Below are 18,816 nucleotides of genomic sequence, written 5' to 3'. Positions count from 1 at the left end.
AGACATAGTTTCTCAGAATCTGCCTTTTCTCTTCTTTCCTTCTTTATTTTCCTTTTTCTTTCTTCTTTCTTCCTCCCTCTTTCTTTTTCCTTTTTCTCTTTCTTCTTTCTTCTCTCTCTCCCTATCTCTCTCCCTCTCCCTTTCTCCCTCTTTCTCTTTCTTCCTTAAATCCTACCCACCAGTACTCAATATTCCCAATAGCCTGACCCCAGCAACAGCAGCTCTGACTAGAGACCAGCTCTCCAGTTCTCATGAACAGGTACCCACATTATTAATGCAGGAGCTTCCAGCTGGGATCTCTCTAGTTAAATAAAACACAAATCCAGGCTTGGTAAAGAGAGATTTTATTTAAAAGATGTTGCAAGGGACAGAAGGGACTCTTGCAGTAGGGGGGACACTCTGGCCATCATAGCAGTCTGCAAGCAGGTCCGGGGTTAGGCAAAGAGGGTTCATCTTTCACAGGGAGGAATGAACAAAACTAGAAAGAATGGGGTGTGAGGATGTAGGGTGAAAGGGTGATATATTTGGACAATGGATCAGGGAGAGTCCGAGGTCAGCCTGCTGCAGGAGGAGCTACTAAGGAGGGGTGTGTGCTGGCTCAGGATGAGGACAGGACACAGGGCAGGTACATGGGGAGGGAGAAGAGCTGAACCAAAATCTGGTTAGCAAGAATGTTGTTCCGATTGACCAGTGGGAACAAAACAGCTCATCAGTTATGAAGCAAAGAATCGGAATTTGGAAGGGCTGTGTGTTGGCTCATCATAAATGAGGGGACATCATGAGTCCTCTACGTCCTATAAGGAAGGCTATTTTTTGCAGTGGGCCATTCCCTAGAATGCAGATGGCTCCTTAACTTCACTGTTTTCCAGGATCACAGGGCTTGGGCAGAGCTCAACACAGTCTCCATCTGGCCAGTCAGGGGTTGCTCAGCTCCTGAGCCCAGGCCGCTCTGCTTCTTAGCTATTTTTGCCAGGTGTTGCTATTGGCAAGTGCAGCCCAATGACTGCAGATCCTGGGAGGTGTCACGAGGCCGCTGAATGCCTCGCCTCATGAGTCAAGGAACTTCTGCGGCCCCTTCCACTGCCTGCAAAGGAAGATTTTACAAGGATAAGAAAACACAGTGAGTTAGGGGGAACCACAACAGTGGTGATATTTTATTTACTTCTCAACATAGCCCAAGCTCCTTGATGTAAACAGTATTTTATTGCAGTGAGTGTGCATACCTGAAATTCATTGAGGGAAAGGATGTGGCACGTAGCACAGGTACCATCAGAGAAGGCAAGAGAGAATCCTGTCAGCAAAGAGCCGGAGGGGAGGAGAAGGGAAGGGGGTGCCCCTGCATCCACCATGTGCTCTGGCCTGTGCCAACAGATAGGGCACCTCAGGCAGGTCATTTGATCCTTCTGCAGCTCATTTTCCTCCTCTGCAAAGGGATAAACACAGCATGAACTTTATAGGGTAATTACGGGATTAAGTAAGTTACTATACGTGAAGTCTTTAAAACAGGGAGCCACTTCGCAGGCATTACATAAGCACAGCCAGGAGCAGCAGACGCAGCAGTAGTAGTACTAGCTAGGAACTTCATATTAACGCTGCAAATCTCTGCAGAGGAGACGCTTCCTGCACTTATTAGGAAGGACTGTAACTGGTCACATGTCTGCACCCACCTGAGACTGTGAACTCCATAAGAAACAGAGACCATGATGCTCTTATAAATGACTGCATCCCCGGAACATAGCACTGGCCCTGGAACATCACAGCCAATGAAAATGTGTGTTGAATGTACACTAGTGGGTAGGTAAATGGATGGACAGATGAATGAATAGAAGGAGGGAAAGCAGGAGGAAGGAAGGAAGGAGGGAAAAAGAAAGGGAGGGGGAGTTATACAAAGAGATGGATGGAAGCAGGTACAGCACAGAGGGAGAAGGACAGGGAGGAAGAGAAGGAGAAATACTAGAAGCCTCTCTATTTCTTAAATCATGTGGCAGATAATGCTAGGGTTATTGCCTTTTATCGTGAAATATGTTTTGCAGAAGAGGAAAAAAGGGAGGTGTTTTATAATTGGATTTGACTAGTATTCTGACCTAATTTTTAGATGAAATATACCTGCTTTTTGCTGGGTAGCCAGGTGTTTAGACTGAGCACACAAGGCTTCCTGAGTCCTTCCTCCCTGTTCCCTTTCAGCCATAGTACCTTTGTTTCGCCTACGTTGTCTTACGTGATAAACTGTTTGATTGGCTGGCCTTGCATTTCAACTTGGCTTCTCATTGGCAGCTTGCAGTTTCCAGGGAAAGCTCAACAGAGTGGGATGAGGGGACAGCTTGTCTTTCATTTTCCCATAAATTCTTGCTTAATGGTTTCCAATAACATTTTCCTTCAGTGATTATTCTGTCACTCGTTCCTGAATGCAGTTTTCCACCACTGAATTGAAACTGTTTGCCTTTTCAATTGACAAATTATATCAGATAAATGCCACCCATTACTGCATAAACAATTAAGATCCTAGAAAGATTTGCTCAACTGCATTTTGTTTGTGACTGGTTTAGAATTTTCTGATTTTGTTTGTATATGGCAATCGCAGTCACCTTCCCTGCCCTGGGTTGCTTTTTCTCTCAACCATATATTTGCAAAAGGTTTGCTGGCCTTGCCCCCCCAGGATATGAACAAAAAATTGCAAGGAGTTGAGTGGGCCTGGGAGCATGCAGATAAGAATGCTGGACATGACCTTGGAAGTTCTCCAACCTCCCCAAGTTGAGTCTTTGTTTCTACATGTGAAAAATATGCACAGTGAACCCCAAGCCACCAGGGTGCCCGGAAGATTGGACTGAATCTTGCATTTAGAGAAAGCACTCAGGAAGCAGTGGGACTCAATAAATGGACATTTAATCTGGATCTGAGTTGCACTACCTGCTTTTAGCAGCTGGAGAAGCACGCTGGAGCTGTCCACGGAATGCTCCGCTTTGCTAAGATAATCATCAAAAAAGGAAAGTGCAAAGCGGGTATCCATTCCATAAATCACCAGTTTGTCAACTCACTGTCCAGCCCTACAGTGATTGTTTGACAAAAACAAAAAGGTTCACAAAAGACTGCACATGCCTCAGAGAGCAGGGCAGTGTTAGCAGGGGAAGCTCAAGCTCCCAAAGTCCGAGCTTCACTAAGGGTGCTGTGAGTTGTCAATCACACATCCTGTTCCATATAGTTGTGGCGTATACCCTCCAGGAATTGCTAATTTTTAAAATTTGAAATGCAATAAAATCACTTAACAGTAAAACTGCACTGAAATAATTGCTTTCATTCATAAGGCATTTCAGTGTCTTGCAGGGCCTCATGTGCTCATTCATCAACGAGCCTCCGGCTTGTCACTGTGAAAATCAATTACCTCTGTACTAAAATGCTGTCATCACCACCATCAATAAACAAGCATTAGGTATCTACTGGGTCTGAAATGCTCCTAATAGGAACTATTATATTTTAATGAGAGAAGAGGATTTTTTAAGGCCCTGATAATATAATGCCAGATAACATATATCACAAATGATTTGGAACATTCTATATCATATGCGATTTTAAAAATATTTTTATCAGTATCCACCACACTGGTACAATTGATTTAGAATTGCTTATGATCTATCCATCTCTGCCACTATTTAGGACTGGAGTTGGGTAGGGTAGGGTGTGCTGGGATAGCAAGGTACAGCTCATTCATTCTCCCATCGAACACACTGGCATTACTGTGGGCCTACTCAGAGCCAAGCACAAAAGGTTCAGGCCTGAGCAAACATGACGTGGTCCTTGCCCTCAAAGAGGCTTGAGACCAGCAAAAGAGCCACAGCACGACAGGTGACATTGTCACAGTGGTGTGAGCTCCAATGAGCGTCTCCAGGAGAGTGAGCCACGGAAGGCCTGGCCTGGTTGGTCATGATAAGAGTTAGTGACCTGGAAGGGTTGTATGGGCCCAGAGGGAGCAAAAAGGACCCAGGAAGGGAACACAGATCAGTGAGGGAACCCAGCAAAATTGGGGCTCAGAACAAAAGTGGTGAAGGTGGCTGGGCACAGTGGCTCACACCTGTAACCCCAGCACTTTGGGAGGCCGAGGTGGGTGGATCATGAGGTCAGGAGTTCAGGACCAGCCTGGCCAACATGGTGAAACCCCATTTCTACTAAAGATACCAAAAAAAAAAAAATTAGCCAGGCATGGTGGCACAAACCTGTAATCCCAGCTACTCAGGAGGCTGAGGCAGGAGAATGTCTTGAACCTGGGAGGTGGAGGTGACAGTGAGCCGAGATTGTGCCAGTTCACTCCAGTCTGGGTAACAGGGTGAGACTCTGTCTCAAAACAAGAAATAAAAAACAGTAATTAAAAAAAAAAAAAAAGAGTGGTGAAGGTGAGGCGAGGCGAGGCAGGGTGCCCAAGGTGCGGGGCTAAAGGCCTGGCATGTGTGGGGTGGGAGGGGAGAGGGGATATGATCAGACCCTCTGGCAGCCTTTGGGGAGAGCAGACTGGGAGAAGAAAGAGCAGGTGCCCAAGCACTGTGTGCACACTCTACCAACAATGAGGCAGCATGGCCCCCCGAGGCCCTGGGGCCCAGGGAGAAGCGGGGTGGCTGACAGATACACAAGCTGCTGTGCAGCAAACTGAAGGAGGACAAAAGAAAACAAGGCAAAAGGAAATAATGGCAGCACATCATCCTGAAGCCCAACTTGACAGGTGGGTCCTGGTGCCGACTGGGCCATAGCGATCTCTTCTCCAGCAACAGTAAGAGGTGGCTTAGCCCAGCACATCCAAGGGCAGGGCACCCACACAAGGAAGCAGAGTTGAGCTTGCAGCAATGCCCCTCCCTTGTTGCCTAAGGATGCAAACTCCTGATGAGAGGCCAAGGAAGATGTGGGAGGAGAACTACAGCCCAGAGGTAGGAGGAGGAGAGGGACACCAACCACCAAATCTTTTCAAAAAGGAAGCACAAGTATATGTGATGCGTCTGTAGGATCCTAAGGACAGCAAAGAACCCAGAAAACACAGGAACCCACTCCTCTGGATCCAAACCAAAGCCCTGATGCATGAAGCCTGGGTAATAGCACCCTGGCTGTGCAGAGGTGCAAGGAGCTTAGCAAACCTTACCACACTAATGTCATTCTCCAGGTGAAACAAATGGACCCTGTTCTGCTCCCGGGCTCCTCTCTGAGTCCCTCTGAAAACTCTCTTTGAAAAAGTACCCCAGTTTCCAAGTCTGGAATCAGCACAAACACACCGGCATCCTAAATGGATCCAAATAGGAGTGTCTGGTTTCCAGTTCTTCCTCCAAATGGCAGCCCACATTTTCCTTCCTCCTGCCTATAGGTTGAAGTGTCACCAGGATACTGCACAGACAGGGACATCACTTCTAAAAACAGATGTGGGATCAAATAACATTCATGTAAGCCAAAAATCATTTTACTTTGTCTAGGCTGATAACTAATTCTACCTTACTTGGGTTATCAAAGTGGCACCAGAGACAACCCACAGGAGTTCTAGTGTTTCTAAAGCTCAAGATCTGTGACAGCCAAAGAAAAACAAAAACAAAAACAAAAAAACACCCAAATAAGCCCCAAGGAGGGAGGCAATTGTGTACCAGCTCCCATAGCTAGGACTGCCACAACCTAAATGTCACTACCAGAAGGCTTGCTGTTTCACGGGAGTGCAAAATGCCCGGAGAATTTAGAGCTCCTCTGATCAATCTCTGGGGACAAATGTCCTCAGGCGAATTTCATGCTCATGTGAAACATTGAGTGAACCACCGTTTATTGCAAATCCAAGTTTTTTTTGGTCTGTTTGTTTTGAGATGGAGTTTCGCGTTTGTCCCCCAGGCTGGATTTCAGCTCACTGCAACCTCCATCTCCTGGGTTCAAGCGATTCTCCTGCCTCAGCCTTCTGAGTAGCTGGGATTACAGGCAAATGCCAACACACCCAGCTAATTTTTGTATTTTTAGTAGAGACAGGGTTTCACCGTGTTGGACAGGTTGGTCTCGAACTCCTGACCTCAGGTTGTCCACCTGCCTCAGCCTCCCAAAGTGCTGGTATTACAGGCGTGAGCTGCCGTGCCTGGCCTCATGTCCAAGTTTATTTCAATTAAGGTGGAAGCATTCCAATAGCTTTTCTTTTTCCAAGTTAAAGTCAACTCATTGTAGATCTTACCATGTTTTTATGGAACTGCTCTTCAAAATTTGATCAGTATGAATCATTTTATGATGATACGGTTTATGATGAAGTGGTTTACTGGAAAATCTTATGGGAGAAATGTATGTGTGCCCTGTTGTGAGTGCCCTAGTTTGGAGACCTTGGAAATCCATCATAACCTCAGTTATTTATGCAGCACCTGTTTTCTGAGAATGAACTAATCTCCTAATTTCATACCTTTACATTGCAGTTTGCAGTGATTAACTGGCGCACCCTGTCCCATCATGTCATCGTATTGCTTGGCGGTAGTATGAGGTCACTTCCCATGGCATCAACAGCTAGATGAGCCTACTATGTCCCTAAGGGAAAGGTTGCAGCTAGTTCAGGGCACAAAGACGAAACATTCTTAAAATAAACAAGTAAACCCAGAGGCGAATAGAAGACAAGTTTTAGGAAAATACTTGCTAAAACTAGAAAGCAAGATGGAGAGGGCTTAGGAGAAAACAAGACATGTGAGTATTGATAGGAACACTGAGGATGGGTCCTTCTGAGCCAGGATCCCACAGTTCTGCCTCACCGGCACCACACTGCAGGTCCGGGAGTTCCGCAGCCCTCTGGATGGGCACGAGAGGACAGCAAGCGTGTTCCTGCACTGCCTGGAGAAATGCAATACTGAGGCTAAGAGCCAAGGTCCTGGAAAGCCTCGCAGCCCAGACCAGACCAGGGGCTGACCAGGCCCTGCAGAAGGGCTTAGCAAACACCCAGGTGAGGTGGAGAGGCTCTCAGGGTAGGTCCCAGCCCCTCAAGCACACACCATATAGAAGAGAGCCCCGCCTCTCAAGCTGCTGGGAGCTCCTGCCTGAGTAAACCCATCCTCCAGGGAAGGAGCCTGAGGGGAGATCTTGAATTTACCAGAAAACCCAGAAATTGACAGATTACTTTTTTGTATAGTTTTCTTTTTTCTTTTTTTTTTTTTTTTTCCGAGACAGAGTCTGTTGCCCAGCCTGGAGTGCAGTGGCACAATCTCGCCTCACTGCAAGCTCTGCCTCCCGGATTCACGCCATTCTCCTGCCTCAGCCTCCCTAGTAGCTGGGACTACAGGCGCCCACCACCACACCCGGCTAATTTTTTGTGTTTTTAGTAGAGACAGGGGTTTCACCGTGTTAGCCATGATGGTCTCAATCTCCTGACCTCGTGATCCGACGGCCTCAGCCTCCCAAAGTGCTGGGATTACAGGCGTGAGCCACCGTGCCTGGCCTTTCTTTTTTTCAGAGAAAGGATCTCTGCCACCCAGGCTGAAGCGCAGTGGTGTCATCATAGTGCATTGCAGCCTCAAACTCCCGGGCTAAACCCATCCTCCTGCCTCAGCCTCCCAAGTAGCTGGGACTACAGGTGCCACCAAGCTTGGCTAAATATTTTTTTATTTTTTTGTAGAGACAGGATCTCACTATGTTCCCCAAGCTAGTCTCAAACTCCTGGCCTCAATAAATCCTTCTGCTTTGGCCTCCCAAAGGGCTGGGACAGTTTCCTTTTTTATACCCAAGTTTGTGACACGAAACCTGGAGCCCACCACAGGGGAGTCTCTGGCAAGTTGGCAAGCTCTGCAGACAGCTCCACATGAGGCACTCTTGCTGCTGTAGTTATTGTTGGATGTGGGATCTCTGCATCAACACAAGCAAAAATGAAATAGATGACAGAGATGAGGGTCTGGATGGAAACTGAGAGGTGAAGCCGGCTGGGCTTCTGGGTCTGGTGGGGACTTGGAGAACTTTTCTGTCTAGCTAAAGGATTGTAAACACACCAATCAGCGCTCTGTGTCTAGCTAAAGGTTTGTAAAGGTACCAATCAGCACTCTGTAAAAACGGACAAATCAGCACTCTGTAAAATGGACCAATCAGTGCTCTGTAAAATGGACCAATCAGCAGGATGTGGGTGGGGCCAAATAAGGGAATAAAAGCTGGCCACCCCACACCCTCAGTGATAACCCTGTGGGGTCTTCTTCTGTTCAGGGGGTAGTTTTGTTCTTTGCCTGTTCACAATAAAGGTAGCTGCTGCTGATTCTTGAGTCCACACTACTTTCCCCAGAGGGTCTGTAGCTTCGTTCGTGAAGTTAGGAAGAGCATGAACCCAAGCCTCCTGGGAGGAACAAACTACTGTGGATGTGACGCCTTTAAGAGCTGTAACACTCACTGCAAAGGTCTGCAGCTTCACTCGTGAAGTCAGTGAGATGACGAACCCACTGGAGGGAAGCAACTGCGGACACACCATTTTTAAGAGCTGTAACACTCACCGTGAAGCTCCACGGCTTCATTCTTGAAGGCAGGGAGACCGAGAGCCCACTGGAAGGAACCAATTCTGGACCTAATGTGATGTATTTGTTGGCACACGCCCTGGTCAGTTGTGTTCCAAATTGTATTACCAATCAGAAAAATGCATAGGCATATTTTATTGTGGTAAAACCAGATAAAAATTAGTGTATTTTACTTTTAACTTGAAAGAGCAATATATGAATCTTAAGTTAACTATAGTTTGCTGTTTTTTTTTTTAAGCAACTTCCAGAACATTATTGAGGTTAATAGAAACTCAAACTAGTGTGCTACAAATTTGGTGTCCACATCTCTGTCCTACTGGCCTGTGGGACCTGATAAGCCTTCTGAATTAGTGTGTTTAAAGTACAGGGGGCTGGCCACTCATGCTTTATAATCCCAGCACGTATAAGAGGCTGAGACAGGAGGACCTTTTGAACCCAGGAGTTCAAGACCAGCCTGGACAACATCGACCCTATCTCCATAAAAATTTAAAAATTAGCCAGGCATGGTGGTGCGCACCTGTGGTCCCAGCTACTCAGGAGGCTGAGGCAGGAGGGTGCTTGAACCTGGGAGGCTGAGGCAGTGAGCTGTGATTGTGCCATTGCACTCCAGCTTGGATGACAGAGCGAGAGCGAGACCCTGTCTCAAAAACATAAAGCTTGAGGGAGGAATGAGGAAACTTCGTGTCTTCTAATTTCTGATACCCTTGATCTATGAGCAGTATAGAAGCAGGCCTCCTGAAACCAAGACAGCCCATTACTGGTATCCCTAGGAGTGAACAGCACTGGGATTTTGGAAGCCTGTGCTGAGAGCAAGCATGGGGAATCCACCCAAGTGCCCATCAATGGTAGACTGGATAAAGAAAATGTGGTACGTATACACCATAGAATACGGTGCAGCCATGAAAATAACAAGATCATGCCTTTGGCAGGAACATGGATGGAGCTGGACGCCATTATCTTCAGCAAACTAGTGGAGGAACAGAAAACCAAACACCACATGTTCTCAATTGTAAGTGGGAGCCGAATGATGAGAAAGAAGGTAGCAACGGACACTGGGACCTACTTGAGGCTGGAAGATAGGAAGAGGAGGAGAAAAAATAACTATTGGGTACTAGGCTTAGTACCTGCATGATGAAATAATCTGTAGAAGCAACCGCTGTGACACGAGTTTATCTATATAACAAACCTGCACATGTACCTCTGAACCTAAAAGTTAAAAACGAAAGAAAAAAGAAAAACACAGACAATTAAAAATAATTTTTTATTATATATTATTTTACATTTGTTATGGGTCTATATTTACACAAATACTCTGTAATATGATGGCCACTAGTCACAGTGTGGCTCTTGAATATGACCACTTAAAATTGAGATGTGCTGCAATTTAAAAATAATATACATTTGTAAATAGTTGGTACAAAAAGAATTTAAAATACCTAATGGATATTATTTTACACTGATTACATGTTGAAATAATATTTTTGATATATTGGATTACATTGAATATATTATAATTAATTTTACCTTTTTTAAAGCTTTTTCTAATGTGGCACTAGAAATTTTTAAATGACATATGTGGCTTGCATTATGTTTCGATTGAATAGTGCTGGTCTGTATGATTCATCTTCTTAGGAAAGAAATAAAAGGAACATGATTCCATAAATATGATGAATATCTCTGAGTCCCGTGATATCAGGAGAGGAAATGACATACTATTAATTTCAAATAGTTGACAATCACTCATTAAGGAAGTTGACATTATGCAGTGTCTACTTTGTGCCTAACACTGCTGGCTGTTTCACATAAATTATCTCAGTTAAACTGCCCATATCTGTCAGGGGGCAGGGTTAAGTCAAATAAGTAAAATCACTGGAGGAAATCATTAGAGAAAAAAAATATGTAGATGTAAATGGATTATTCTATGGCAACTGCTTAAAAAGTCTCTGATAGGCAGGTGCCTTTGCATATAAATCCACCACTTGAAGTTTGCAGGAAAGGCTATCAGGAAGGGAAGACGGTTGTAAATTGGGAAGAGCAAGGACAATGTAGAACCCACAAGCACACATTGCAGCTCGTCAAAAGTGACTGGACCCATCACCAGTGTTGCGCTGGAGCCCTCTCCTATCAGCTCACAAGAGTCTAGTGTATGGATCTCTTCCTAACTTTGCATTCAATGACACCACATTGAGAGCTTGAAATCAGCCACAAAGGGAGTACTTACACCGCATCAATTGGCAAACACTATAAACCAGGGCTTTTGCTTTTTCCAGAGAGGTAGTTTTAGAACCTATCCACATGTCTGTGTGTGTCAGTCTCTCACTGCCCCCAACTTTGATAATGCAGGTGACCTGCAAGAGAAGCAGATGCCCCTCATTGTGGAGCTAAACACGTCTCTGACCCAGGCATTGGAGGAGCTGAAGGAGCCTCAGGTGAAGGTTGAACAGCTGCAAGCTCAACTGCTTCTGCACACCTACGAGGTGAGCCAGCAGAGATCGACATTGCATGTGCCCCTATACCCACCACACCCACCTTTCAACAGTAACAGCAATGCAGCTACACAGCAACACAGTTGCTACTCCATTTCCACTCTCTAAATCTGTGCAAAATGTCCTTCAAGGCCCATCCTAACTGGAAACATACAGGAACAAGAATTCTGGGGAATGCATTTTGGCTTAGCCAAATTGGTGTGTTTCAAAGTCACTACAGCCATTTGAACAGGGATTATTATACCCATTTTAAAGGTGAGGCTACCAAGACCCAGGAAGGTTCAATAACATTTCTATAGTCACAAAGCCAATGAGGCAGGATGTGGGCAGGATGTGTGACTCTAATTTCTGTGCTCTTTCCACTGTCAGACACTGGGCTCCAAAATAAAGGCTTCCTCTTTCCTCTAAAATCTGGAACATGACAAGGATTCTCACTTTCACCGCTGTTATTCAACATAGTACTGGAAGTCCTAGCTAGAGCAACCAGGAAAGATAAAGGGCATCCAAATTGGAAAGAAAGAAGTCAAACTATCCTTGTTTGCAGATGATATGATCTTATATTTGGAAAAACCTAAAGACTTCACAAGAAAACTATTAGAACTGATAAATTCAGTAAAGCTGTAGGGTACAAAATCATCATACAAAAGTCAGTAGAATTTCTATGTGCCAACAGTGAACAATCTGTAAAAGAAATTAAAAAAGTAATCTCATTTACAGTAGTCACAAAGAAAATTAAATACCTAGGAATTAACTTAACCAGAGAAGTGAAAGATTGCTGCAATGAAAACTATCAAGCACTAATGAAAGAAATTGAAGAGGGCATCAAAGAAAGGAAAGATATTCCATGTTAATGGATTGGAAGAATCAATATTGTAAAAATGTCCATACTACCCAAAGCAATCTTCAGACTCAATGCAATCCCTATCAAAAAGACCAGTGACATTTTTCACAGAAATAGAAAAACAATCCTAAAATTTATACAAAACCACAAAAGACCCAGAAGAGCCAAGCTATTCTGAGCAAGAAGAACTGAACTGGAGTAATCACAGTACCTGACTTCAAATTATACTACAGAGCTATAGTAACCCAACCAGCATGGTACTGGCATAAAAGCAGACTTATCGCCCAATGGAACAGAATTGAGAACGTGGAAACAAATCTGTACACCAACAGTGAACTCATTTTGAACAAAGTTGCCAAGAACGTACACTAGGGAGAAGACAGTCTCTTCAGTAAGTGGTACTAAGAAAACTGCATATCCACATGCAGGAGAATGAAACTAGACTTGTCATATGCAAAAATCAAATCAAAATGGATTAAAGACTTAAATCTAAGACCTCAAACTATGAAACTACTACAAGAAAACATTGGGGAAACTCTCCAGGGCATTGGTTTGGGCAAAAATTTCTTGAGAAATACCCCACAAACACAGGCAACCAAAGCAAAAATGGACTAATGGAATCACATCAAGTTAAAAAGCTTCTGCACTGCAAGGGAAATAATTGACGAAGTGAAGAGACAACTCACAGGATAGGAGAAAATATTTGCAAACTGCCCACATGATAAGGGATTAATAACCAGAATATATAAGGAGCTCAAACAACTCTACAGGAAAAAAATCTAATGATGTCATTTTGAAATGGTCAAAAGACCTTAATAGACACTTCTCAAAACAAGACATACAAATAGCAAACAGGCATATGAAAACGTGCTCAACATCATTGATCAGCAGAGAAATGCAGAGCAAAACTACAATAAGATATCATCTCACCCCAGATAAAATGGCTTTTATCCAAAAGTGAGGCAGTAACAAATGTTGGCAAGGATGTAGAGAAAAGGGAACCCTTGTATACTGTTGGTGGGAATGTAAATTAGTACAACCACTACGGAGAACAGTTTAGAGGTTCCTCAAAAAACTAAAAATAGAGCTACCTTACAACCTAGCAATCTCACTGCTAGATATATACCCAAAAGAAAGAAAATCCTTATATCAAAGAGATATCTGCACTCTCATGCTTATTGCAGCACTATTCACAGTAGCCAAGACTTGGAAGCAACCTAAGTGTTCATCAACAGATGAATGAATTAACAAAAAATATAGTACATATACACAATGGAGTACTATTCAGCCATAAAAAATGAGATCCTGTCATTTGCAAAAACATGGATGGAAATGGGGGTCATTATGTTAAGTGAAATAAGCCAGACACAGAAAGACAAACATCACATGTTCTCACTTATTTGTGGGATCTAAACATCAAAACAATTGAATTCATGGGCATAGAGAATAGAAGGATGTTTACCAGAGTCTGGGAAGGGGAGTGAGGGTTGGTGGGGAGGTAGGGATGGTTAATGGGTACAAAAAATAGAAAGTATAAATAATGTCTAGTATTTGACAGCACAACAGGGTGACTGCAGTCATTAATAATTTAATTGTTCATTTTGAAATAACTATAAGAGTATATAATTGGATTGTTTGCAACACAAGAGATAAATGCTTGAGGAGATAGACACACCATTTCTCATGATGTGATTATTATGCATTGCATGCCTGTATCAGAATATTTCATGTACCCCATAAATATTCACCTACTATGTGCCCACAAAAATTAAAAATTAAAAAAAATTTATAATTTTTTTTTTAAAAAGCAAAATAAAGGCTTTCTTTGAACAGGCATGTTCCCCCTGCAAGGAGACTCCTGCAGAAGGAGGGAAACTGACCTCATCATTACCACAATTAACCTGCTGCCATCCCTGTACTGGCTTCCCATTAAGACGCTCTCATGAAGCTCACACACCCTGTGAGATGAAAAGGTGTTGCTCACAGGCGAGGAAAGCAAGATGTGGAGAAGTTTTAATAACTTTCTGGCCAGGCACAGTGGCTCACACCTGTAATCCCAGCACTTTGGGAAGCTGAGGCAGGCGGATCACTTGAGACCAGGAGTTCGAGATCAGCCCAGGCAACATGGGGAAACCCTGTATCTACTAAAAATACAAAAATTAGCTGGGTGTGGAAGCAACACACCTGTATTCCCAGCTACTCTGGAGGCTGAAACCTGGGAGGCGGAGGTTGCAGTGAGCTGAGATTGAGCCACCGCACTCCAGCCTGGACTACAGAGCGAAAATTCGTTTTAAAAAAAAAACAAAAAAAACCCCACCTTCATATAAGACCCTTTAGGAGTTTTACAGGAGACAGTGGAATAAACAAGGGGCAGAATGACAGAGGTCAGGGCACATCCCAGCCGCAGCCCAGGGACCGAAGGGAAAAGTAGTTGAAAATGTGATACTAGCTATTGAAAATGCTTTAAATCTGCTTCATTAATTGTAAGGCATACAGAGATTTATTTGTTTCAATGCAGCATAAAAATACCATGTTTCTCCTAAAGATGTCCAAGGAATCAGGATCCCTCCTAACCCTGACTCAAGTCTAGGGGAGCTGGGTTTTAAGCGGCCGACTGCCTCAGCCTTGTGGGCCTGGCAGGAGGATTCTTCCTCACCACAGGCCTCCTGTCCGCAAATCCTGCTCTCTGGGTCTGTTTGCAAATGCCTCTCCGCTGCAGATGCCTCTTCCTTCTTCCCATGTGAGGCCAGGCACATCCCCTCTCCCTGGCAGGCAGATGGCAGAGGTGGGAAGTGAGTGCAGGAAGCCTGATTGCAGTTGGTTACAGGGGCGGGAAAGTGGCCCAGCAAAGCCTGAGGGAGGCCTTTTGATTCCAAAGATAGGGCAGCAACTGCCTCTTCCATGAGCTCATCATTGCTCTTCTTGCACACGTGTGTTTTGAAGAGAGAGGGAAAGAGGTGTGAACCACAAACACAGGGCGACTAAGATGCACCTTATGGTTCCAGGCATGTGCTTGAGGTGCGTGTAACTTTGTCTCTTGGTTCAGCTTCCTGTATTATTTTTCCAGCTCTTGTTGAAAGTCCATAAAGTTAAGTTCTGTTGATCCAGAAGTATAAATGACTAAAAAGAAATATAACAGATCTGATGGCAAAGAAGGAAGGGATTTCTCTGAAATGGGCAGTTTGGGCCAGGGATGGCGGCTTATGTCTGCAATCCCAGCACTTTGGGAGGCCAAAGCAGGAGGATAGCATAAGGCTTGGAGTGGGCAACACAGCAAGACCACATCTCTACAAAAACAATTAACCAGGCGAAGTGGCGCACACCTGTAGTCCCAGCTATGTGGGAGGCTGAGGCAGGAGAATCACTTGAACCCAGGAGATGGAGGTTGCAGTGAGCCAAGATCACGCCACTGCACTCCAGAGTGGGTGACAGAGCAAGACTTTGACTCAAAATAAATAAATAAATAAATTTAAAATAAAAATAGGCAGTCTGGTTTCTGAACAATATGGCCACATTGCCTCATAATGTTCTAACTTGCTTTTATTATGAAAATTGTGTGTATTTCTGAAGGATATTTGATGCTCTCTTTTGTAAATATTTTTTGGAAGCATTTTACATATGTTTATTTAATTTTATAAGGGTACAGACACATACTTAGTATTTCTTATTAAGTATATAATATGTGTCCATAACACCTTGGTATTTCTGAATAATTTAGAGAAAATAGACTTTCCCCCTTGAAAAGAATTTCTGCTTATAAAAATAGAGTTGCATTCAATTATTTTTATCAACATTAGTAATAATATTGGTTACTCATTCAAGTGGTGTGAATGTTTCAAATCAATTTCAGTCTGACCAATGTTTGCTTACAAAGCAGCCACAAGAACACCCTTGTTAACAGTAACTCAGAAAAGAAACTGACCAGCTCAGAGAAAGAAGCTGCTTAATCACTGCTCAGTCACAGACGCATTTAAGAAGTTCTGTCTATTCTGTGGTCAATATTGAGCAGGATTCCTGAATTGTAGCAATAAAGAAAAAACTCATTTTCCAAATAAATGTGTAATGTCCTAGAAACTGGAATTCTACACCCCCCTGCTGGATTTTCTGGTTTATGAGATTATTTTTAACAACATGGAAGAAAAACTGAGACATTGTATGGATTGGAAAGGCTGTCAGTTGTTCTAATAGGGTCATCTGCTCTCCAACTCAGGCTGCCACAAATGAGTATGAGGATTTATCATGGAACTAGCATTTGGAAGGCAATAGAATGAAACATGCAATTTAAAGCATTTTTGCCCTGAGACTAGGCACTAACATGATTTTTAGGAAGTGACTATTTTCTCCCAAAACATGACTTGTCCTTCCATTTTTTTAAGTGGTGGCTTTGCATAAGCAGAAATTTTTAATTGTGATCATGTTCAATTTATCATCTATTTAAATGGTTAATGCATTTTGTGTCATGTCTTAGAAATCTTTCCCAAGCATATGCAGATATTTTATATTTTCCTTAAGACTTTATAGTTTTATCTTTATTTATAAACATAATGCATCTTATATCACATATATATGTATATGTGTGTGTGTATATATATATATATATATATACACACATACACACACATCCAAATGTTCTAGCATCATTTATAGAAAAGAAGCTCTTTTCCTCATTGAATTGCTTTCATAGCTTTGTTGCAAATCAATTGGCCATTTATGTGTGGATCTATTTATGGGCTCTCTGTCTTGTTCCATGGATATATATGTCTACTGTTATGTAAATACTGCTTGGGTTTCTAATCCATCATGACAAATCATGCATGGATGTTAAACATTTGCTAAAATGTTGGCTTTTCTGTCCTAACCGTCATCCTGTTGCAAGTTTGCTCTTCATTTCACTTTGTCCCCAGGGATAAAAGCATTCCTGGGTCTGTTTTCACCTGGAAAAATCGTATACCTTTCTAGAAATTAATTAGCTTAGATTTCTTTATGTCCTCAGCTCTCTGGTGTGCTTAAAACAACCACCACCACCATGATACTACAACTTATCAGAGTTTTTCCTCTGCGACAGCGTGAAGGCAATGTTTCCTGCAATTTTCCACCTCTGGACTGAAGGCAGAAGTCCATGCAGGAAATTATATTTGAGAGGTGCAATTCCCGTAAGTAGTCAGGCTGCTCCAGATGGTGGTAGAGGGAAGCAAATAGAGCTTGGTGGTGGTGCATTCTGAGCATTAGGTTTTTCCAGATAACCCAAAGAATATGCTCTTATTTCATCTCCCTCTGGAAGCACAATGGTAGACACGCGCTTACTAGACATTGGAAATCAGCCTGGGAGCAATTTTTCTCATCTACAGTTGACCTTTGAGCAACATGGTTTTGGACTGAGAGAGTCCATTCATACTTAATAAGTCCTTCCTGCCTCCCTTTCTACCTCCTCCACCTTTCGCCTCTGCCACCCTTGAGGCAGCAAGGCCAAGCCCTCATCTTCTTCCTCCTCAGCCTACTCAATGTGAAGATCATGAGGATGAAAACTTCTATGAAGATCCACTTCCATGTAATGAATAGGAAATACATTTTCTCTTATGATTTTCTTAATAACATTTTCTCTTACTTTATTGTAAGAATTTAGTACATAATACATATAACATATAAAAGATGTGGTAATCAACTGTTTATGTGATTGATAAGGCTTTCTGTCAACATTAGGCTATCAGTGGTTAGTTTTTTGGAGTGTCAAAAGTTTCCTGTGGATTTCTGACTATTATGGGTTCGGCACCTTTAACCCATGCATTGTTCAAGGGTCAACTATACAATATTGGGCCAGAATTCAAAGCACATTAAATGGAACTAAGAGCAATCTGCATTTTCTAATTAGAAAGCAATATTCTCATTTGCATTTACAGAAAGACAAAGCAATGCAAAGCAAAAGCCAGATAGCATCATAGTCTTCTCCATGCTGTGCCCCTCCCAAGAGCGGGGGCACAGGCACATCGGGAGTCCCACTTCACCAGACACATACAGAGAAAGTTCCAGATGGCATGAAAACAAGAGAAAAGGAGCCTTGCTCCTCGAATGGCCACATGGAACCAAGAGCTTCTTTAGTCAGCCCTCCGTGTCTGGAGGTTCCATATCTGTGAATTCAACTAACCTTGGATTGAAAATATTAAACAAAAATGCACCTGTACTAAACATATACAAGATCTTTTTCTTGTCATTATTCCCTAAACAATACAGCATAACAACTATTTACATGGCATTTACTTTGCATTAGGTGGTATATATAATCTATAGATGATTTAAAGTATACGGGGAGGGGGCGTACCTTGGTTATATGCAAACGCTACTTCATTTTGTACCACGGAATTGAGCATCCCTGGATTTTGGTATTTGAGGGAGGTCCTCGGACTAATCCTCCAAAGATACTTAGTGACAACTGTTTATATTTCCTGGTTTCTACGTGAGAAAAAAACAGACTTCTTTGTACTTAAGGTATGAAATGTTATTCTCTTTCTTGCAGCCACTTAGCCTTGCCCCTGACTAATGCCATAGTTCGCCCAGTGGTTTGAAGCCTATTTCTGTAATGATCTACTGCAGAGATGGGGACCAGGAAAATAGACAACCACGGAGCTCTGTACAGATCATCATATTAACTCCTACAACTCATCGTATTAATTCCTCAAAGGGCACTTAATTAGAAGTCCTAGGTGATGACACCTGGGAGCACCTTTGCTTGTTTTGAAAACAGATGGAAAGTGATAAGGGTATAGAAAGGAGAGAAATGATGAACAAGGGAAGCAAGTGGGAATAGCAAATATAATTGTACAGAGAGTTCGAGGAGTTAGGAATGGGGCAGGGGCGTAGGCCAGGCGTGGTGACTCACGCCTGTAATCCCAGCACTTTGGGAGGCTGAGGCGGGCGGACTGCTTGAGCTCTGGAGTTCAAGAACAGCCTCGGCAATATGGTGAAACCTCATCTCTACTAAAAATACAAAACACTAGCCAGGTGTGGTGGTGGGCGCCTGTAATCCCAG

The 18,816-nt window shown here is 43.2% G+C and overlaps 1 long non-coding RNA gene across 1 annotated transcript in view; it reads right to left on the bottom strand.

Annotated features, from left to right (window-relative positions):
- Nucleotides 1-330: 330 nt before the first annotated feature.
- The window catches only part of LINC02346 (long intergenic non-protein coding RNA 2346), a 150,761-nt gene continuing 132,275 nt past the window's right edge, over nt 331-18,816 (bottom strand). The window contains exons 3-5 of the long non-coding RNA NR_040082.1: nt 4,209-4,326; nt 1,224-1,423; nt 331-1,084 (exon numbers count right to left, since the gene is read on the bottom strand). This is a non-coding gene — a long non-coding RNA (long intergenic non-protein coding RNA 2346). The remainder of the gene's footprint in view (nt 1,085-1,223; nt 1,424-4,208; nt 4,327-18,816) is intronic.

The sequence above is a fragment of the Homo sapiens genome, chromosome 15 (genome assembly GCF_000001405.40).
Source record: "Homo sapiens chromosome 15, GRCh38.p14 Primary Assembly".
Classification (NCBI taxonomy): Eukaryota; Metazoa; Chordata; class Mammalia; order Primates; family Hominidae; genus Homo; species Homo sapiens.
Note: the sequence above shows the minus strand (reverse complement) of the source record. Positions and strands in the feature narration are given on the sequence as shown.